Source organism: Homo sapiens, chromosome 3 (genome assembly GCF_000001405.40).
Source record: "Homo sapiens chromosome 3, GRCh38.p14 Primary Assembly".
Lineage (NCBI taxonomy): Eukaryota > Metazoa > Chordata > Mammalia > Primates > Hominidae > Homo > Homo sapiens.
The window spans coordinates 114,708,155-114,731,041 of NC_000003.12; the positions used below are offsets into that span (position 1 = coordinate 114,708,155).

At 36.8% G+C, this 22,887-nt stretch overlaps 1 protein-coding gene across 15 annotated transcripts in view, besides 2 other annotated features; it reads right to left on the bottom strand.

The window, feature by feature from the left end:
- ZBTB20 (zinc finger and BTB domain containing 20) overlaps positions 1–22,887 on the bottom strand; it is an 832,789-nt gene that overhangs the window by 393,655 nt on the left and 416,247 nt on the right. For 2 of the 15 annotated variants that reach the window (NM_001164344.4, NM_001393395.1), the window contains exon 2: positions 2,114–2,159. The exons of 11 other annotated variants lie outside the window; for them this stretch is intronic. The gene's annotated coding sequence lies outside the window, so the exon portion shown is untranslated. Of the gene's footprint in view, positions 1–2,113; positions 2,160–5,821; positions 5,862–22,887 lie in introns of all 15 variants that reach the window. 2 more of the 15 variants (NM_001348801.3, NM_001164343.2) reach the window with 2 other exon arrangements.
- Positions 6,183–8,414: an enhancer, noted in NCBI's record as "VISTA enhancer hs253". NCBI's record gives its function as "enhancer in: somite[6/8]" and the evidence as "EXISTENCE:transgenic organism evidence [ECO:0001131][PMID:17130149]".
- Positions 19,476–19,525: a silencer, noted in NCBI's record as "silent region_14614". NCBI's record gives its function as "represses an Ori minimal core promoter by ATAC-STARR-seq in GM12878 lymphoblastoid cells {active_cell/tissue: GM12878}" and the evidence as "EXISTENCE:reporter gene assay evidence [ECO:0000049][PMID:35858748]".

Genomic DNA, 22,887 nt, shown 5'->3' on the forward strand with positions numbered 1-22,887 from the left:
ATTTATATTCTGTAAACTGTCTCATTTGCAGCATAAATGACTACAAAAATGTTTTGGTTACTCTAAGTGTTAACCTTAAGGTAAGAGTTAAATTAAGTCTGCTATAACTGGTGGACCAGAAAGGACTCAGAGAAAAGCAACAGCATGGCTTTGAATCAAATCACTTTTGGAAGAAAACTTTAAGATGTTACCACCGAAAAAATAAAACTGGCAAAATGCTCTGGAGGGCATCTTAGCAATATGCATCAAAAATTTAAAAAATATATGAAGACTGTTGACCCAGAAATCTCACCTCTAGGAATGTATCTAAAGGAATTACTCAAAGATCTACACAAAGATTTAGAAGCAAGAATGTTTACCATGGCATTATTTATAATTGTGAAAGACTGGTAACCTTGTCTGACAATAGAGAGTTGATTAAATAAATGACAGTACATTCCTAGACTTAAATACTATGCAGTTTAAGAAATCATATTTTAGATACCACTTAATTACATGAAGAAATGTTTTTGGAATACTGTTAAGTGAAAAGGCATATAACCAACAATATATGTACAGGAAAATATATTGTTTAAGTAAATATTGCTAAGTTAAATATTGTTAACTTAAATATTGTTTAAGAAGTGATAGTTGTGTACACACAAAGTGCAAAAAGACCAGAAAACACTAGAAGTGCTTGTTTCTGGGTAGAGAAATTATAAATAATTTTTGTTTATTTGAACTTTTCCATAATAAAAGCACATTTATTTCATAGTAAAATATTACTTAAAATATTCATCTATACCAACCTTCCTTCTCTAAAGGCCTAAAAGTGACCCTCTGTAGGCACTCTTTTGTCTCTAGAAGTCTTCCTTCTCCTGTTTTTATAGATGTATGTGTTGCATTCTAAAATCTTAAGTATTTGGGACTATGTAGTTATAAAAGATACCCTACCAATTAAACAAATAAAAAATCTTATTAAATCTGTGGTTTTAATCTTAGGTTCCTGCTTAGAAAAAATACCAATTTCTCTTTAAGTCCTATATTTTGCTTTCAATTCAGCCTCCATAGTATTAATTAGTTATATTATTTAGGCCTGCAGCAGAACAGTTTCATAGTTCTTCTCATTCTCACAGTTCTTTGTAAGAGACACCACCCCTCTCATGGTTCTTACTCACCCCTACACCCACAATTGACCATAGGTAATTGTGCAAGAGACCACAAATAGAAAGAAAATGAAGGAAGCCTTAAAAGGCCAAGGTAGTTCCAAGTTATAAAACAGAGAAAGGCTGAAAATTTAGGCAGAGATGTGGAGAAAATCCGAGCCATGACACTTAAGAATGAACTGGAGTAAAGATCCATGAGCACCTGGTGCAGGGAGAGACAACTCTACCTATCAATCCAGTACATGCTACTCACACAGGACTATTAATTCTAGTAAATAACCACAGCTTTAGGAGGGGCAAATGTTCTGGAATAGGCTGCCTGTTGAAAATACAAGTGCTAGGGCCTTTCCATAACCTATAATCAGGACTTCCAGAAGTAATATCCAGGCATCTTCATTGAAAGCTCCAAATGTGATTCTGAATTATACTAGAGGTGAGAACCAATGGGCTACTGGGGAAGTTCAAATCCCTTAGCTCTAGCCAACTTTTATAAATTCATCTCCCTTAACTTCACAAACATATACACTCTGCTGATGCTAGACCGGTGTCCTTGTTCTCCATCCTTGCTCCGTCATAAAGAGAAAGCTAGTTTATGTCTTTGTACAATCTACTTATGACTTTATATCTTGAATGCCCTGACTGCTCCTTACTACCTGTTTAAATCTTCACTAATTCCAACAATGGGTTAGAGTTTCACCTTCCTATGAATTCACATTGATTTTTCCTACACATTAAACTACAGAATCTGTGTCTTCCCCTATTTCTACTCTTACATCAATATGAAACAATAATTTGTTTGTCTTACAACTCAATATGATCATAAACCATATGTGCCCTTAGAAAGTGTTCACATGGTTTTGTTGGTACCTCTTTGCAATGTATATCAGGGAATTTTAAAAAATAGCAGACTGAATTGAGACCAGTACTTGCATGTTCATCATCATATAATATGGGACATGTATATTTACCTCCAAACATTCTCAGAGTTCATTCTTCGTACCCTGTAGGCTTATGCTGTAAAGAAAATACATATGCAGAAATAAAAACAGAGTTTGAATCTCCAGTCCTAATCCTTCCTCTGAACTCCTGTCTCATGTATCCAACTGCCTACTACATCTCTTTATTTGGAAAAGAATTTCAAATTCAACATTCTCCAATACTAACTCATAATCATCTCTTTCCCAAATCTGCTCATTTCTCCATATCCCCTATAGCTCCCAACTCCATGGGATATTGCCATTTATCCAGTGGCTGGGGTGAAATGCCTGAAATTCATCACACCTGATGTCTCTCTCATGTAAAACCACATTGAGACCCTCAGCAACTTTTGTCAGCCCTACCTTCAAGTTATGCAGAGTTGAACCACTTTTCATCCCCTCCCCACTGCCATTGCCCTTTGCATAACTGGGCTACTATGATAACTACTACATGCTCTTCCTGTATCACCCTGACCCTGTAGACTGTTCTCCACAGTGTAGCCCTGGAACTCTTTTAATATGTAAATGAGATCATACATGCTTAAAAAAATCCTCTATAGCTTTCTGTCAGTCTTTATCATGGCCTGTGTGAGCTGGTCCCTACTTATCTACATGATCATTCTTACTTTGGTCCACTTGAGCCACACATTTCTTCTTGCTCTTCCTGGAAAATTTCAAGTTGTTCCTACTCCAAAGTCTTTACAATATCCATCCCCTTTCCCTAAAATGTTCTTCCTGCTGGTCACCACATGCTTAGGTTCTTCTAATAATTTAAATATTTGCTCAAATATCTTCCACTCGGTGAGACCTTTCCTACTTACCCTATTTCAAATAGCACTTTCTAAATTATATATCCCTATTTTCTACCTCCTTATTATGCATTATTTTCTTCCTAGATCTGATCATTATTTAAAATGATTTTTTTTTGTTTACATAATTATTGGCTGTCTCTCCTTCCACTATAAAATAAGTTTCATAGGAAACTTTGTTTAATTTCTCACTATATTCCCAGTAATTAGAACAATGTCTGAAACATTATAGGTACTTGATAGCTATTAAATGACTGAATGAATAAGTAGATGAATAAAGTGTTCCAGTACTTATAAATCTCATCCCAGTCACATAAACTTTAAATAGGAAATCTTTATTCTGCATGGTGCAGCGGCTTCTCTGGATTGTCCCAGAGGCCTCTATTCTTTCCATCTGACTGCACAGGCCAGTCTGGGAAACCACCTACATGCAATAGCTCACATGTCTTATAATAAACTTCTTGGGAGGAGTAAGTCAAATTAGATAGTTAACTAAAAATAGTATCTCTGAGTTTATAAAGGAGACGTTTTCCCAGCCCAACTGGTCCTGGTAAGTTAGACTGGCATCAAATGCTGACATGGCAATCTTATGCTTGATGAACCCTCAATCTGGAGAGGAGTGAGCTATACTTTTATACTATTTATTTTGTGAAAGTTCCAAGTATAGTTCATCTTTGTATCCACAATGTCAAGAACATTGCTGAGCAGAGAGTAGAGCTTCAATAAATGTTTATTAAACAGATGAACAAACTAATCCATGAAGCAAACAACATTCTAAGTGCTATTCTTCTATGTCTAAGCTTTGACGATGCGCTATATAAAATTCATTCTTGCAATTTTCCTTCATAGATTAGACTGAAAAACTCATCGTGAAGGACCATGTCTTATCCATCTTGTATCCCAAGTTCTTAGTACAGTGCTGGATGTAAAAGGAAGAAAAACTCCAAAGCAAAGGATAGAGAAGTTAGAAGTCCTGGCAGCGATCAGTGAGTATTAAAGAATGCCAGTATGACGTGATTATCAGATGTTAGGTGATGAAAATCATGCCAGCTAACATATGGATTTCTACCCTGTTTCTGTATAAGACTTGAGCTCTAAATTTAGTTCCTGAACACAGGGGATCAGAGTTGAAGGTGATTATTTACTATGAAACTGCTATTTTCCACAGTATACATGATCAAAGTGCTAGAAACTTAATGCATGAAAATCTACACTTCTTTACTCAACCTCTCTTACAGTTATATAAAATTCTTTAGAAAATTAATGTTATAAAAAAGAGTTCAGGCCGGGCGCGGTGGCTCACACCTGTAATCCCAGCACTTTGGGAGGCTGAGGCGGGCTGATCACCTGAGGTCGGGAGTTTGAGACCAGTCTGACCAACACAGAGAAACCTCATCTCTACTAAAAATTAAAAAAAATTAGCCGGGTGTGGTGGCGCATGCCTGTAATCCCAGCTACTCGGGAAGCTGAGGCAGGAGAATCCCTTGAACCCGGGAGGCGGAGGTTGTGGTGAGCCGAGATCGTGCCATTGCACTCCAGCCTGAGCAACAAGAGTGAAACTCCATCTCGAAAAAAAAAAAAAAAAAGAGTTCAGTTTGTTCACTAAAGGGCTCAATTTGTTCACTACATAAAAGGATATAGCAGTTTGTTCACGAAATCAAAGCCTTTTCAAATATAATAAGCAATAGAAGAGGTGACAAAATATATAATGTAACTATTAAATCAGTATGCCTTACAAGTATCCATCATGGTTATAGTACTAATTGCCTTGGTTTGTCCAAGACTGAGGAGGGATGTGAGCTTTTCCGTGTTCAAACAGAGAAAGCTCCAGGCTAGTCAGGACAAGTTGGTCACCCTAATAATGGTATAACCTGCTAAGCTGGTTATCAGCTATTCCGATGTATCTATATGTAGGATCTATAGGTACATGTAGAATATATGATAGATAACTAGGCATTACTAGGTTATAAGATGATTAAGAATTAATCAGTCTGTACTAGTATACCATATGAAGTGCAAATCCCTTGTTTCATTTTCTCTTCATTTCCCCTCGATGTTGGACTTCTTATGTTTTTATATCGTATGCTTATATTGATTTTATTATAGTCAAATACATTAATTTGGGGTGTTAGGACAATTTCATTTTCTTCAGAAGAAAAGGAAAAGTGAGTAGCAGCAATGCAGATGGGTCTCAATTGACGCATGAGCTCATCTGTTTTTTACAACTCCAAGTGTGGTAATTCCCCGTAGAATTAAAATTTCCTAACACAGAAATTAAAATTTTCCTAGCTGAAAATGCCGGCTTTTTACATATCCCAAAACTGAACACATAAAGATTAAACTCCAAAAGTAAGGCAAGATCTACAGAACTATCCCAGCCCTAATTCTGCCGAGATATTTATTATAAGACAAACTGAGACAGTCCCCTGTGGTCTCCTTAAGGTCCTGATGGCCCCCTCAAAGCATCATCTGGCTTTAAGAGAACTCCAAAATAGTAATTGGTCTTTGGGCACAGAATAGCCATTGGAATCTGGATTAGAGTCTGAAAAACACTGCATTTTCCAAAGAGATTACAATGCCAGGCTTTGAACATTGAAGGGTAATATCTTCTTTCTAAGTATCTCTGGTCAGTCTCAGTAACTAGACCTACTTTTGAGGCTCCATTTCTTTTATGTCTTTTAAATTTAATGATAAAAAAGAAATATCTAAATTTATAATATACACGAAACAGTGAAATTAGGAGAAAAAATTCTATTTGATGTGTCCATTTTTTTAAGCTCCCATGACTAAAAAGATCAACAGTTACCTACATTTGTAATATTTATGCCTCCCAGGCTCAGTGTAATGAGTTTCATCTCTGATCGAATTTTTATAACTGACTTTCACTTACCTGTGAAATAGGTAATAGGAAGCCTTGGTAGGTGCTTTCCCTAAAGAATCAGATGCAAAAGTTAGACCTACTGCAAACAATACAGAGGAAAAAAATGTCACTCTAATATACTACTACTATATCCGTCTGCTTTTTGCAGGAAAGGAAAGCTATCATCCTAGACAGAAATACTGAAATAAGTGAAGTACAGACAAGTGATTAATCAAAATCTGAAAATCATAGTCTTCAGCTTTTTCTTCCATGAAACCATGGTGTGTCCTCTTAACTTTGGCCAAGTGCCCAGCTAAGAGAATTCTTCCATGAGATGAACATGCTTCAGGGCAAAACCTTATTCTAACTGATGGTTTTAAAAGCCCAACTCTACATTCTGCTCAAGGCTTTGGTTACGTAGGTAAGCCAAAACACAGGAGACATGACTTCCTCCATTAAACTGGCTGAAGCCCAGGTTACACTAATTGAGCCTAAATAGAAAACCTCTGCTTTTCAATCCCTTTGTTCTCTTGGATGTCACAGCTTCCTGCTCTATTCGCTTCCTTTTATAGTCTTCTCTCACCAAGCATTTCAGGAAAAAAAAAAAAAAGCTAAATAAAGATCACAGCCTGTTCCATTGTGTCCCCTTCTTCTTCATCATCTTCTTTTCCATGTGTGCAATGTTGTGGCACCTATTAACTACCAATGTTTTCAGAATGACATTATACAAGGTGCAGGCTGTACCACTGTGCCCTAAAAATATCAACAACTGCATTAGTCTCACAATAATTAATGGCAGGCATTATGCAAATGACAACTTTTTCGCTGCAAAATAATGACATTTCTTCATTTTGAGCAGAGTTATGCAAAACAATGAATTTAGGATGATAAATCACACAGGAGAATTAAGAAAGCCATAACGTTCCTGCCCAGGCAGGCAGAAAGATAGACAGACCAACAATTTAGAAGACATTGTTTTGTTCTCACACCACTATAAAAAATCATAGCCAGTCGGCCATTAATGTGTGTAGGTTTTTTTCCTTCTCCCCTTTAGGCAACAATGCATAAGGGGATGCTAAATTCTAGCAATTGGATCATTACAAGTCACAAGCAAATTTTTCTTTATTAACCTTAATAAGTCATTCACTCAGAGACTATAGTCATCAAGCAAATAAAAAGTATCACATGCCATTCTGCTACACATTAACTAATTCCTTATGCAAACATCACAACATATAGCAATTACTGCCGCTCAAAAAAACAAAGTCATTTTCAATTTATTTTATTGCTTTTATACTTGGCCATTTCCTGTAGCACATTATCGTTTCTTTCCCTAACAACCCGAGGTGGAATGAAGAAGAATTTCGGTAGCAATGAGCCCCTTCCTCTAGCCACCTTTGTCATACCTTTTTCCCCTCCGGGAGGCTTTTAAGGAAGGTTAGGGATAAGGTATGTGCACGCTCCTTCACAGGAAATGTGCATCAAGCTCAGAGAAATGGTACATTCAGCTCCTATTCTTGCAGCAAAGAGAGTGTGGGGTAGGCAGTAAGACCCAAGTCTGTCTCCCACATTTGCTACAATAACACTGACAGCTTTCCTTTATTCAGTAAAACAAGGTAAAAGTGTAGGCTTAGACCTGTCCCCAACAGGTGAACGTTAAAGTCAATATATGCAACGTTGACCTGAGAGATATAGTAATGGTTAATGAGAATTATGAGGTTACTTCGTCTTGCTTCACTCAGCACATAACTTGTCCCTTCCAGAATGCTGAATGAAGAGCAATAATAAATACTGGACACTACCCCACAACATGCACAGTATTAAATAAGATCTTTGTGTGTGTGTGTTTTTAATTCTATAACATCCTTTATCCAAGACTCCCAGGATGTGAAACAAATGCTAAACAAAGCTTACACATTGCTAACAGATTCTTTTAGCCCATTTTACAGACTGACAAATGGATTCTGAGCAACTAGAGGCTTTACACAAAGTTGGACTGGAACAGGTCAGACTATCTTTCCAATGTTCTAACCTCTGAGGCCCGTGGCCTCTTATAATCATGAGCATTCTTTCCTGCTGATAAACAATTATGCTGTAAACAGCCTGTACATGTCCCTTTTCACACAACAGGATGATAATCTCTCTCCGTTCTCCTAAATCCACAATCCATTCCCCCCTTTTTAAGGTAGAACATTTCCGAAATACACACGGGAAAAGCTCTGTTTTCAGTTTCTCCTCCTGAAGGTAATAACATTTTGCAGTTCTCCTTAAATAAAATCCAGCCCATGCTGGATCAATAAGAATGATGCCCATTTCCCTAATGGCAGCCGATTGCCATTTGCTATTCAAATCAGACTAGATAAATTACAGTACATGCCAGGGAACAGGCCAGTGAATTAAGACAGGCCTCCAGAGGACCAGCGATATTATTAATCTTTTAAGACACTATCATATTTCTTCTTGACAGTGTGCGTAGACTCACAGACACACTGCACCCAGATTGAAATATCAGCTGCTGAAAAAAATCAATAGTGTTAGAAACACAATAATTTTTGGTCTGCAGGGTCTACACTAAGCAACACTTGTACCCCTCCTGTGCCATCTCTTCTCCCACTTCCCCTTTGCCATATTTGCCTCCTACCTTTTTGCTCTTCCCTTTTCATTCTCTGGTTTTAAAAGCTTGTAAGTCCAAATGACAAGATATTATGAGAAGGTTTCCACTGCTAACACTGGCCATTGTGGTTACAGCGTTGATTTTTCATGGGTTGTTTGAAATGCAATTTTACTAGTCTGGCAAAATGTTTTGGCGTGGGATTGTTTTTCCTATGAACTTAATATAGATTTTCAACCCTTATGCACTTGGTTCTGTATTATGAAGAAATGAAAATATTTATAGGGGTGGCCATACCTGAAAGTTCTGAGGAAAGTGGAATGCACAGAAGGGAAAATAATGGAAACCTGGCCCAGAAATGAAAAAAAGTGGGGGGTATTCATTGAAGATCCAGGAGAATAAACAAAACAAAACAAAACAAAACAAAAGGCTACAGGGGAGGTGTATGTAGAGCAGAACATGGTAGGAAGAATATTCTACTTAGATTCTGAAAACTTGAAGTTGACCTCTGCCTCTGCTGCCTGCACACTGTGTGGTTTTGCCAGTTACTTACCCTTGCAGAGCCTTGGTTTCCTTTTCCATTAAAACAAAACAATCTAACCACCTACCTCATAGCATTCTTGTGAGGGCTAACTAACAAGATGTGTGTGTTTTCTAAATAATAAAATTGTGAATGATATAAACTAATTTCTACTAGAGAGAGGTTTATGAAATGTGTCTGCTTTTTTCCTTTTTCATAGATACAGAATACCATAAAGGAACTTTAGACGTTATCAATAAATAAGCAAACTGATAGCCACAGAAAGGTTATTGAGGTTCACATTACCAGTAGCTAGTAGAACTTTAAGTAGACCAAGATCTGTTGAATCTGAGCCAGTCCCTTTTACATTTTACCAGATGGATTTTACCTTTTCCATGTCTCTTTCTACTAGAGATTTGAGGCTTTGATTCTTGTCCATGTTGCTTTTCCACTGGGGAGGCAGATAAACAAAATGCCACATAAGAAAACAAAAACAGAAACAAAACCTACCATGTTTGTGTATATTTATATGCTATTCTTTTGATCCCAAGACTCCCTCCAGTTCACCCCCCATTTTGATTCTTCCTTTCATAACAAAATGTATTAGAAAAATTGTCCGTATTAGTTATTACCGTATCTTCACTTTCTATTCTTTTCTTAATCTATTCCAATCAGGCTTTTATCCGTTCCACTCTACCATATCTACTGTTGCCAAATGCAATGGTCACATTTTAATTTTCATCTGACTCAACTTCTTGCAACAATTTAACACGGATAACCGCTTCTTTTCCTCCTCGAAACTGTAATATCTTTTGGGATACCCCTCTTTTCAACTTTCTCTACTATCTTACAGGGCACTTAAGCCTATTTAAGCCTCATCAAATTTGAAATCTGTTACTAGCAATTCATTCTTATTTCTGAATTGGGATAAACACAGTATATTTGGAAAAACAGTGGACTGTCAGATGTTTTGATGGTCTGATTTTATGACTTTGATATACAAAAAAGAGTAGAAAATCTTATTCTTGGTTTGGCTTGAAGCTTTTTTATTCCACATACCTCATGGCAAAATTTATGAACTACTTTTGAAAATTCATAAGTGATCATTTACCTAGATCCACTTAATTGCTCCACCCAGTTTCTTCAAACACTTGTTCTTTGAGGTCTACATGGCAAGAAGTAAATACGAAAACCATTTCCAAGTGAACTAAAGTAACCTGAATATGTTTTCTGTGTTAGGTTGTTCCCCCTACCCACAGCAAAAGCATGAAGACTTCCTTTAAGAATACAAGATATATTCTAAGTCTACCAGTACTCCATCTTCTGATGTCAGATGGAGTTAAAGTTCACTTTCATCTCAAGAGAAAAAACAGTCATTCCTGACTTACAAACATGAGTGGAGGGAAGTACCTGAACACAGGGATTGCTTTCCTCACATCTGGCTCTAAGATACAACCACGCGCTGTGACATATAAAAAGGTCACTGACACGAGAAAATATCGCAAGATATTACAAGGATAATCAAAGCCAAAATATATCCAAACCCACTTTTGGAGAGAATCCCAATAACTTCTTTTGAATGTGATAATAAAAATAACATGAATAAAGATCATTTTCTTAAGAAAAAAAAGGAACGTTTCTATCACTTGCCTGCCACTTGCCACTTAGGAGTAGACTCTGGCTCCCTTTTCCGCTTAAATTCTTCCACAGAGTCAGCTTGCCAGACTCTTAACCAAGGTTTTTCTTTTATCTAGACTATAACAAATACTCCATTTTGGGTCATGAGAACATAGTAGCAAAATTCCCAGAGTTAATACTTTAATTATACACATATGTATTTATTATTTTGTATGTGTGTGAGCTGTTCCACTAAGTTAAACTTTAACCATATTAATCCAGGAAAAAAATCCCTGATTATCAACTAACAATTTTGTAAACAGTTATCTCACAGGTTAAATATTAACTCGAAAAATTTAACTCAAAACTCCACACAAGCAGAAGGAGCCAAAAGGCCAGGAAGAAGAAGTAAAGATTAGCTGCTTTAGGAGGAACACAGCCAGGAAAGTGAGCATTTTGGTAGCTGGATAATGTGTAGGAAGTCCAGGGGGTTGTGCAGGGGGGGGAAATAGAAGCAAGAAGGGAGCCTGGAGGACACCTGCTGCTTATCATAATATCAAAACATAAAACAATGAGGTGAGACCTTAAGGAAAAGAAAATTCATGGAGATATGAATCCATTGATAATGGCCACAGGAATTCAGGTGCAATAAAGGTTTGAACCTCAATGATATGGACATAGCTAAAAGATCCAACACAAAGCTAGCTGGAGCGGACTGCCTGCCTGCCACTGAATATCATGAGGAACATTCTGGGGTCCCTCTTCCACTAGAAATAATGGGATGAAGGCTGCTCTGCCTGTCCTGTTTCTGTTTCCTAACAATAAAACAAAACTGAAGTGTCTCCCTCCAGTATTGGGTTATTAGGGGCACCGATTGCAAGTTCTAAGCCTTTATCTAACTGTCCATCAATTCTCTCCCTGATTAACAGAACCATATCACGTAAGAAAAAGTTGGAACCAGCAGTAGACTAAGTCAGAAGGCTTTTCTGTACCGGAATTGCTGAACTACAAATATTGTTCTCTGGTTAGGATTTTGACTAAAAAATGTCAAGAAAATCCACATGGCCAGAGAATTCGCACAATCTTGATATCTGAGGTACAGGGTAAAGCTGATGTATTTTAATGCTGTTTTAGGAAGGTTAGAAACTGTTAAGATTCTTCCTGTCAGTATGTCAAATATCAGATCAGTCCTGCTTGCTGATTTTTAAGGAAGTCATTAAAAAAATCCTCCCAGTGAGTAGCTTTCAAGGAAGACTCCCATTTGCCCGGCAGATCTAAAGAAATAATGAGGCCAAATAATGCAAGTTTCTCAAGAGAGGTGTAGGATTGAATGAAAAAAGGGAAGATATAGAAATGTAGGAGAAATAATTCTTACATATATAATATATATAATGTATATATGTATATATTGTGTATAATATGTATATATTGTTTATATTCAAGAAATATGATATAGCTTATCATATATTACTTTTGATATTTTTCTTATACATCTAGTACATGAATACATGCTTATTGGAAAAGTACAAGTACAAGGTGTAGTCTCTATTATCTAAATATATTATTTAAATATATATCTAAATATATTATCTAAATATAGATGACACCTCGTACTTGTAAAGCTTTTTGCAGTTTATAAAATATTTTTGCATAAAATATCTTTTGCTTTCCTGACAACCACAAAAAGTAAAAAGGGTGGGTTCTATAATTTCTGTTCTATAGACATGCAAGTATTACTCTACCATTGACGTAACTGGTGCAGAATAAACCTGAACAGAGGAAATAGAATCCATTAGTAGCCTGGTTATCCATATCCACATGCCAAGTAAGAAAGCAGCATGATGACTGTGGAAATGTAAAGGCATTATAAGAGTGATTTTTGGAGAGGATTAAGGAGGGAGACATCAAAATAATTCAAAAGGAAGTTTAGAAAATCAGTAGAAATAAAGGGCTAAATTTGGAGTAACTTTTTTGGAAAAAAAGTGTTTAGAACAAGGAAAGAAACTTCCAATTCAGACCATGTATTCATTTGGCATATACTAATTGTATATCTATGTTTGATTTTCTTTGATAGATGCTATTGGGTAAATAATGATGTGTATGGAGACACTGACCTGTGCCTGACATATTTAATATCTATTTGTTGGGATAATGCCCAGAAGGAATTATTATGCAATAAAATTCAGATATTCAGAATAGGGGTTTAGAGAGAAAATCATCACTGATATGTAGGCTGACAAAGGAAAGCTTCAGTATGATGAACAAATCTAGTTATACTTTGAAAAACATGTAAGATTTGGGAGGTGATAAGACATTTCAAGTTGTGTGAAGGGCATGAGAGAAAGCATGGAAGCAGAAAATTGAGATATGTATTTGGGAGCAGCAAATAAACAAGTTAGTTGGAATTGTAATAGGAAACAATGCTGGAAAGATGGGTTGAGTGTGGAATGCGAAACGGGGTCCTTGAATAATGGGCTGAGTAGTCCACTTTATTCTGTGAACACAAGAGGTCTATTAAAGGCTTGTAAAGTAGGACACTGGCATGGTCACAGTGATATTCTAGTATAAATAATTGGGAATGGTGGACAGAAAAAACTGAAACAGGGAGAGCATAAAGGTAATGAGAGAGAAAGAGAGAGAGTGCGAGCTTGTGAGAGCAAGAGAATGAGAAGTGATCCACTGCAACAACCCAGGTACTATGTGATAAATATCTGACTTCGGTAGTGTCAGCAGAAATGTACAGGAAATAACATGTTCTAGAGACATTGTGGAGGAAAAAATAACAATATTTACTAAAGTTCTACTCTGTGCCAGGCACCGAACTATGTGCTTTATGTAGATTAACCCATTAATCTCCATGCTAACCCTAAGAGGTAAGTAACTTTATTGTTTCCATTTTACAGATAAGGATTAAGCAACTTTTTCAAGGTTATGCAGTTAGTAAGTGGTGAAGCCTGGATTCAAACCCAGGCAATCTGACTCCAGAGCCTGTTCTCCTAACCCCCACACTTACTGTTTTTCCTAGGTACAAGGGATCTTTTGGTGGATTATATATGACAAGATTTGATATAATTTGATGACTGACTACATATGAGCAATAAATTCGTGGGATTCTTGGGATTCTCAATTCTGAGATTTTTGGGTTATATTATGAATAAAAAGAAGGAAATAAAGAAGATCTTCTTGACTTCACATTGTACATTTGTTCCTAATGGTCCAATTGCTTTTTGGACTTAAAGTATCAATTTACAATAAAAGCCACAGAAGCAACTGAACCACCAAACCGGAAAGCTCTTTGAAAATGATTCTTCTTTCTAGTTTCACTAATGTATATCTGGAGTATAGCACAGTTCTTCGCATATAGGGGATGCCCAACAATAACATGATGAATGAGTCAACTGGAGAAGTATTAATTGTAATAAGTGAGAATAAGGGAGTGGAGGGTGTAAAAGTCAAAAGAGTATGACCCAGAGTCAGACAAATATTGGTTCATATCCTGGCTCAGGGCCCTTTCTAACTACATGACATACAGAAAGTTACTTTAAACATTTTGTGTAATATGGGGTAATAATTCATAGGAAAGCTAGCTACCTTACTGGATTCAGTGGTTTTATATAAAGGCAATGGGTGTATGCAAACCTAGTAAGGAATGCTCCCAAAGGCTGTTACCTCTGACAGAAGAAAATCTGCAACCCCTTTCTCTTTGTTTAACTTACAAAACCACATGAAGACCTAAGAAAAAAAATCTGCCAAATAAATTCCAGTTACAAAAGGAAAATAAATTATTTTGAAAGTAAAAACTATAATTTCAACTGAAGAAGAGATTTTAATTGCAGGGAGATAGATCAGTTGAATGGTTTAACTTGGACTTGAGAAATCAGTAGCAGCCAGTGGGATACATATTAAAGAAAAAAACAAGTTTAATTACCCTTAAGATTTTATACAGCTTGGCTCTTCCCTCCCACACCTAGTCTGCTTCCATCAGGTCAGACTCCTTTTCAATCACACTCTCTTCCATCCTTTTCTCAGTTGCTGTCATGACAAGCCAATGAGAGAATGACATACCGATGAAAACAAGGTTTGAGTAATTACTGCACTGTGGCTGGTTGTTGTCTGGGCATCATTTTATTTCTTCCAATCAAACAGGTCCTTGGACTTCACAGCTCTGTTTCAGGTGGGGGTGATGCTGATTATATTATGACATTATAGCAAAGACAGGCAGATCAGATGAAGTGAATTTCACTCAGTAATTAAACTGCAGTTTCTTTCGTCTAAAGTCCAGGGCAGGATTAATCGAAACGTAGCTCTTTATCATTCCTATTAATGCTGGGATTTGAAGAGTGAGCTCTGATTTGATAGCTAGCCCTGAATCTGGCTGACTGGTGTCCCCAAATCTGTCTAACTTGCAAAAATAATATCAGATCAAGATACATTTGCAAGGTTATACCCTTCCCTTTTATTTTACTTTTTTTTTTGATAAGGAAATGCAAATAGATTCAAATATGCTGCCATTTCCACTACCTTGTTTTCTATTACAAAAATGTCTGTGAAAAAAATCAGGTCCTTCCAAACCCCACAGCATTTTACAAATGGTTTTCCATAATTCCACTTAACACCATGCTCTAATGGCTTCTAATTTTGTGACTTTTCATTATCTGAGACTCAATATGAATATTTGGATGGCCCAAGCGACAGCTTTTCAGAGGCTCAAAGGTTCTACTTTTATTTTAAAGGACTCATTCTGGGACTTATATAGAGATTTTGTTTCATTCAATCACTCTTGTAATGCATATGATATCACCAAATTCTTTAACAAGTATGAGTTGGATCACTGATTCTCAATCCTGGGTGTCCATAGAAGGACCTGTGAAGCTCTGTAAAAAATCAGCCTCCAGCCTCCACTCCAGGCCACACTCACAGATCGGAATCTCTAGGTTTTAGACACAAGATTTTATATATTCTTGAACTCCATAAGTGATTTGAATGTGCAGCTAGAGTTGAGGACCAGAGTCAGCCACACAGTGTATTAGCTGTATTTGCAAAATATTTATTAAAACAAGCCATTGTTCAGAGAAATTAGCCTCACATTATTGTGAGAGATCTCTCAATAAAATAATAAAAAGCTTATTCCAGTAGCCTTTGCATAGAAAAAGATATACTTGGGTTTCTTTCCTTCTTTTCTTTTTTTTTTCTTAGACGGAGTCTCACTCTTTTGCCCAGGCAGGACTGCAGTGGCGCTATCTTGGCTCACTACAAGCTCCGCCTCCCGGGTTCACGCCATTCTCCTTCCTCAGCCTCCCGAGTAGCTGGGACTACAGGCGCCCACCACCGAGCCCGGCTAATTTTTTTTTTTGTATTTTTAGTAGAGACGGGGTTTCACCGTGTTAGCCAGGATGGTCTCGATCTCCTGACCTCATGATCCGCCCACCTCGGCCTCCCAAAGTGCTGGGATTACAGGTGTGAGCCACCGCTCGGCCTCCCAAAGATATACTTGGGTTTCTTAAGGGAAGTAGAGGAAAAGGAAGACTGTAAAAACAGACAGGTAACTGTTGATGGGGCTTCCATTGTTCTCTCTGATAACATTGAAGGTGATGGTTTACTGATTGAGCTCATCACATGGTAACACTATAGCTACCAACCATATAATTTAAGATGACAGTTGACTAACATCATAGAATCTCAGAGTTTGGACATAAACTTGGAATTAGCTGTCATCTATTTTAACCCCTTCTCTATTCAGCTGCCTTTTTAGAAAGAGAGGCAGAATTTAGAAGACTTTATTTCAAATTCTGTTTTCAGTTCTGTTTCAGAGTTTAAGAATACACGTTCTAGGGTCAAACTGAATTCAACTACTAGTTGGGTGGCCTAGATATTTACTTCTCTAAGCCTTAATTATCCCTTCTTTAAAATGCGGCCCAGAATATGTATCTCAAAGAGCTATTTAGGTTTTATATTAATTAATTTAGATAATTAACTAGAATGCCTGGCACACAAAAGTATCAGAACTCAATAAATTAAGTCTATTGAAGGAAATTGCAATAGTCACTTTTAAGGTTGTCACTGAGACTCTATGCTTAACAACTATCAGTTTGGTGACTCACAGATCAGTTTTCTGGAAGATTTGATTTGCCAAAGAAAAAGAGAGTGAGTCCAAATAGGAATGGCTTTCACATTTAATTGAGCCATAAAATAAAATACATTTTATTAAATAAATTTTATAAAATACAATTTTATTTTAATGATCACCTGGAAATGATCATTAAAAATGCAAATTTCTGGGCTCCAATCCCAGAGATTCTGATTCAGTTTGTAGGAGTGGAGTCTAGGAACCATCCAGGTGATTCTGACTCAGGGTCAAGGGTCTTCACTTTAATAAAGACAGTTATAAAGGAATATAAATTAGCCAAGCATTTATCCCCCAAATAACTACAGTGTGGCTTGACCTGGAAGAGACCATGCTTTCTATTCCTTAAGTCAGAATTCAGTTAGATGAGTTTAAACCATGTGCAAATACAAAATGTTTATAGAGTATATTTATGCACACAGAGTTAAAAAATCTATTTCTCTTCAATTAAATATGCCTTCTCAACAATTATCATTTAGCCACTAACATTATCTTCATCTCTTTTCATCACTACTGGGTACATGTAAGTATACAGACAAGGGTCAGATTTGCTATCGACTCATCCATTTTCTTCTTACAAAATAATAAACAGGTTTCATAAAATTGGTAAATTCCTTGAATAAACAAAAGCAGCTATTTCCTCCTCTAAATGCATTGTAGAATAAAGTATTTTCAAAACGCATTAATCGAAATTGATAATGAAAGTCAATATATAATTGTGAGTTGAATATTTTAAATGCAATTGATTACTTCGCTAAAATGAATATACTCAACTTACACATGGAGACTGTTCTGGATCTAAGGAGAAATTTAAACATTTTCATTCCCAATCAGCGAAATCCCAGAAATGTGTTTAGAGTTTCTAATACAATATACCAACAAATGTGCATTAACTCTCTATATTCTAAAAGTTATTGTGTAACAAATAACAGGAGAATTATGGTCTCTAATTGCAGTTGAACATAAAATTGAGCTGGGGAGAAAATAAGGCATCAACATGAGAAAAGTTTTTCAGCATTATACAACAATATAGGCTAGTGGCCAAGTGTAAGGCTGAAGGAGAATCTTTTTAGTACATACTGTGTGAGGCAGGGTAAGCTACCGAAGATCTGCAAAAGTCAGGCACAGTAACTCACTGAGGGGGTTGTGGTGACCACAGTGGGTACTGAATAAATGTAACCTATTATTTATTATAATAGTTGACAGTTTATTTTAGTAACACAAGATATATCACAGATAAGACTATGTAACCGGTAAAAGGTGAATGGTACAGGCACTGAGAGTTACAGGGAGCCAAAACTGAGAGAATGCTGGCATGACTGGTAAGGGTTTTGTGAGGAAGAGACATTTGAATGGATAATGCAGGAGAGAGAGGATTTGGCTAGACAGAGGAACAAAGATCATTTTAGACAGGGTGGGGTGTTTTGATATGAATCGCAGGTCAAAGTTAAAAAGTGTTTAACGACTGTTAAAAAAAACAGTTTAGGATGAAGCCATAAAGATAAATTTGAAGTAGAACAACAGAGGGTTCTGGATTCCAAAAATCACTTGTAGTTTCTGGTAGAATTTTTAATTGTCAAAATATTTTCTCAGTGGAATTCAATATCTCTTTAGATCAGTGGTTCTCAAATTTTAGTATGCATCAGAATTACCTGAAGTGCTTGTTCAAATACAAATTGCTGTGTTCCACCTCAAAGTTTCTTATTCAGTAGGGGAAAGTGAGGCCTAAGAATCTGCATTTCTAACATATTCCTAGGTAATGCTAATGCTGCTGGTCACTTGGAGAACCACTGCTTTAGAAGACAGTGAGATAGGCCGGGCGCGGTGGCTCATGCCTGTAATCCCAGCACTTTGGGAGGCCAAGGTGGGCGGATCACGAGGTCAGGAAATCATGATCATCCTGGCTAACATGGTGAAACCCCGTCTCTACTAAAAATACAAAAATTTAGCCAGGCATGGTGGCAGGCACCTGTAGTCCCCGCTGCTCAGGAGGCTGAGGCAGGATAATTGCTTGAACCTGGGAGGCAGAGGTTATAGTGAGCCGAGATTGTGCCACTGCACTCCAGCCTGGGCAAGAGAGAGAGACTCCATCACAAAAAAAAAAAAAAAAAAAAAAAAAAAAGTCAGTGAGATAAGAGAAGAGTTGGATGAAGAGTTTCATGGATAAGAAAGAGTTGGACGACTATTTCCTAAAGTCACCATATAATGGAATAGCCCTCTTTATTTCCTATAAAATTTCACCCTCCCTTTCATACCAACACATAGAGAAACCTACATGAAGATTACCTAGGGATCAAAATTCTTCTTTGGCTTTCTAATCCCTCTATTGGGTTCAGGTCCTTAACTGTGGGAATGAAGAGGCCCATGATCAAAAGGAGCCCAGGCCCACCAACCTGGAAACTTGAAGACAACTTAATCACTATTAAGGATATTCAAGAATTCAAAATAACAGACCCAAGAGACTAAAGAAAGAAGGTGGAATTTTTATTCCAAAAAGCCTCTGTCAGTTTCATGTTGAACATTTTGTACTTGGGCTGCACTTAACTGCCTGCCCCTTAATCCACAAACTAATATCATCTCACCTTGGTTCACCTTTTTCTTTTCTTCAAAAGGCAGTCAGAAGCAAGCAGGGGCAATGAGAACTTTCTACCTAGGCATGGGCCACTGTTTAAGCATCTCCACCTTCTGCTTCAAAATCTTTCTCCAAAACAAACTTCCACTATGTGGTAACTATACTGTAAGAAATCATTTAAAAGGCAGAAAGAGGAAATGAAATGCTCTGAGAGACTATTTTCTCATGCATAACTTCGAGGGCAGTATCTCACAAGTCAGTACTTTATTTTTGATGGCAGACAAAAAACATGTTGTGTTTGAAGATTCATGTAGAAATCTTTGTGAAAAAAGGTCAAAATTGGATTTAAAATGTTCAAAACTCCAAAAATCTCTAAAGAACAGGAGCTTGTTTATTTTCTAGCAATTTATCTTTCCTTAAAATAAGAAGCTATATAATTACAAAGTATAATTAATAATAATAACAATAATTACCACAAATACAACAGAAATAATGATAGTAAGCACCATGGGCCCAGATCCCCATAGTTACAAAGGATAAGAATTTGTCTCAGTATATTTGAGAACAGACAGCAGCCCAATAATACAGGAAAAAAAAATTGGAAAGGAAATAATCTTTCTTGTGCTCCCTGGAAAATACCACAGAAAAATAGACAATCAAATTTAATACCTGTTGTTAAATATCTTCATTGTACAGATTAGGTCAGGCAATTTAAATAGACAACAACATGAGGCCTCTAATGTCTCTTAGGAAACAGTTTCAATGTAAATTCCTAGGAGGTCCCAATTCAATTTCTAGTTAAGCATCCCCATCCACTCGTAACACTCATAAGAAGGAGAAATGCATTTGTATGGTGTTTTACAGTTTATAAATTATTCTCACAAACGTGTTATTTGATTGTCTCAAAAATCCTGTGGGGTAGGTAAGTAGAGAAAGTATTAATAGTATACCCATTAGAAGGTGAAAGAATTAAGGATCAGAGAAAAAGGACATAAATTAATCTTTATTAAATATCCACATTGGGTCAAACTGTGCAGACCTGGAAAGAAGTCCAAATAAAGTTTTACATAACATGGATAGGCTTGGAGAATTTGTTAACTGCCCAAAGTAAAAAAATGGAAGAGCTAGAACTTGAATGCAGATAATGCAGCTCAAGATGTAATGGTCTTTCCATCAGACCATAGACTAAACTCTCAGTTGTAACCATCGTCTAGTTACAGTAACTGCCCCTCTCAAGAGGAGGCTATTTCATTGCCAAGAAATAAAACCGTGAATAGTGGTCAGGTTTTCTGTTTTTAGTTAGACTGAAAGAAAGCACATACTCCTTGAGAAGACGTGCATCTTTTTAACATGACTTAGTCTGTCAAGAGAATAAGAGAGAGAATGTGTTATTTCATTCATGTAGAATACTGACTTTTAAAAGTCACTCAATTTCTCTAATGATCAGTGATGTTGAGCTTTTTCTCTTAGGTTTGTTGGCTGCATGTATGTCTTCTTTTGAGAAGTGTCTTTTCATGTCCTCAGGGGAGGGCAGTGTGGGGGCAGAGAGAATCAAGAAAAATAGATAATGCATGCGGAGCTTAATACCTAGGTGACAGGTTGATAGGTGCAGCAAACCACCATGGCACATGTTTACCTCTGTAACAAACCTGCACATCCTGCACATGTGCCCAAGAACTTAAAATTAAAAAAATAAAAAATAAAAAAACTGACTCCAGCTACCCATGGACACAAGAGACAACACGGTCCCATTTGTCACCAAAATAGACAACACAGTCCCATTTTTCACTAACATACTCTTTGCAAGAAAGATAAACTAAAAGACTATCCAACATTAATAGCTAGATTCTGGCATAGTCTCAGCTTAAACTATTAGTTTCTAAATAAGAGGCAATACATATGCATAGTAAAATAGAGAATAACAGCAATGGATGTATTAACAAAATGCATTTTCCATTAATTGTTATGAATTAAAAAGTCTCGAAGCTATAGATCGAGACTTTGAAACTTCTGGAACAAATTAACCTATCTCTTTTTATTTTTACTTTATGCATGCATTTACTTGTGTAGTTGGTGTTGCTATGTTTTCTTAAATTTGTTTTTAAGATAATTATATTCTCCCTCTACTTTTATACATATATCTTCTGAGGCATTTAAAGGTTTGACAAAGCAGTGTCTTCTCACAAGAGACAGAGGTTTCACTTAGAAGCCATCTTGGGAATTTGGGCTGCAGAAATCAAGGGAGGTCTAGTACGTAAGTAAATATTAGTGCAATAATATTAAATTTTTGAATACTAAAGGAAAACATTTATTGAAAGAAAATTGCTTTATATCCTTAACAACTACCTTGCTATCGAGGATTTTTAGAGAATTGCAGAATTTCAGAGTTGATGCTATATGTAGGATTTTCTTTTCTTTTAATTTTTTTTTTAGAGACAGGGTTTCACTCTGTCACCCAAGCTGGAGTGCGGTGGCATGACCATAGCTCACTACAGCCTCAAACTCCTGGGCTCAAACAATCCTCCCATCTTAGCCTCATGAGTAGCTGGGATCACACATCCGGCTAATTTTTTTTTTTTTTTTTTTTTTGTATAGACAGGGTTTTGCTTGGGGGCCCAAGCTTGTCTCAAACTCCTGTCTTCAAGTGATCCTCCCTCCTTGGCCTCCCAAGGTGCTGGGATTACAGGTGTGAGCTACTGTGTCTGGCCCCAAAGATTTTATTTTTATAATGACAGAATATCAGTGTTAGCAGAGTCCATTAAAATTATATATGACAATCATCTGTTTAACCCATTTATGCCAAATGTTGCAATTTTGTGTGTGTGTGTGTGTGTATGTGTGAAAAATCAGAACTTGGTGATGACCTTGAGCAACAGGATATACATAACTGCCACAAGCTTAGCATTCCAATAGTGGAACACTAGGCATAAATGGGTTATGGCTTCAGTATCCTGCAAAATATCCCTGTAAGGTAGCTGTCTATGCTTAAACACCTTGGTCTTAGGAAACTAGGATTTGTGGATATTAGGCAATGTTATGGGCTGATTGTGTCCCCTAAAATACATAGGGTGAAGCCCTAAGCTCCTACCAACTGTATTTGGAGATAAGGCCTTTGAAGAAGTAATTAAGGTTTAATGAGGTCATAAGGTTGGCACTCTAATCCACTAGGACTGGCGTCCTTATAAGGACAGGAAGAGACATCAGAGGTTCTCTTGAGCTCACAAAGAAAAGGCTGTGTAAGGACACAGCAGCAGAAGGCTATCTGCAGCCAAAGACAGAGGCCTCAGGAAAAACCAAACCTGATGACACCTCAGTATTGGACTTCTAGCCTCCAGAGTTGTGAGAAACCAATTTCTGTTTGCTAGTCCACCCACCTTGTGGTATTTTGTTATGGTAGGCCTACAGACTGATATGGTGCCTGTATCAGTGCCTATATGGTGCCTATCTCATCACAACCTGTAAGGAAGGAATTACTTAAAGCCAATTTATAGGTATAGAAACAGACTATGGAACATTCAAGAAATGTCCCAAGAGACAAGGATTCAATAAGTGGCATAACTGAGATTTAATCTAGGTCTATCTTCCATATTATTTTTTACCCTCCTATTTTTTACCTTTGAACACAGAAGGCTGCTACAAAGTTAGTGTTTCA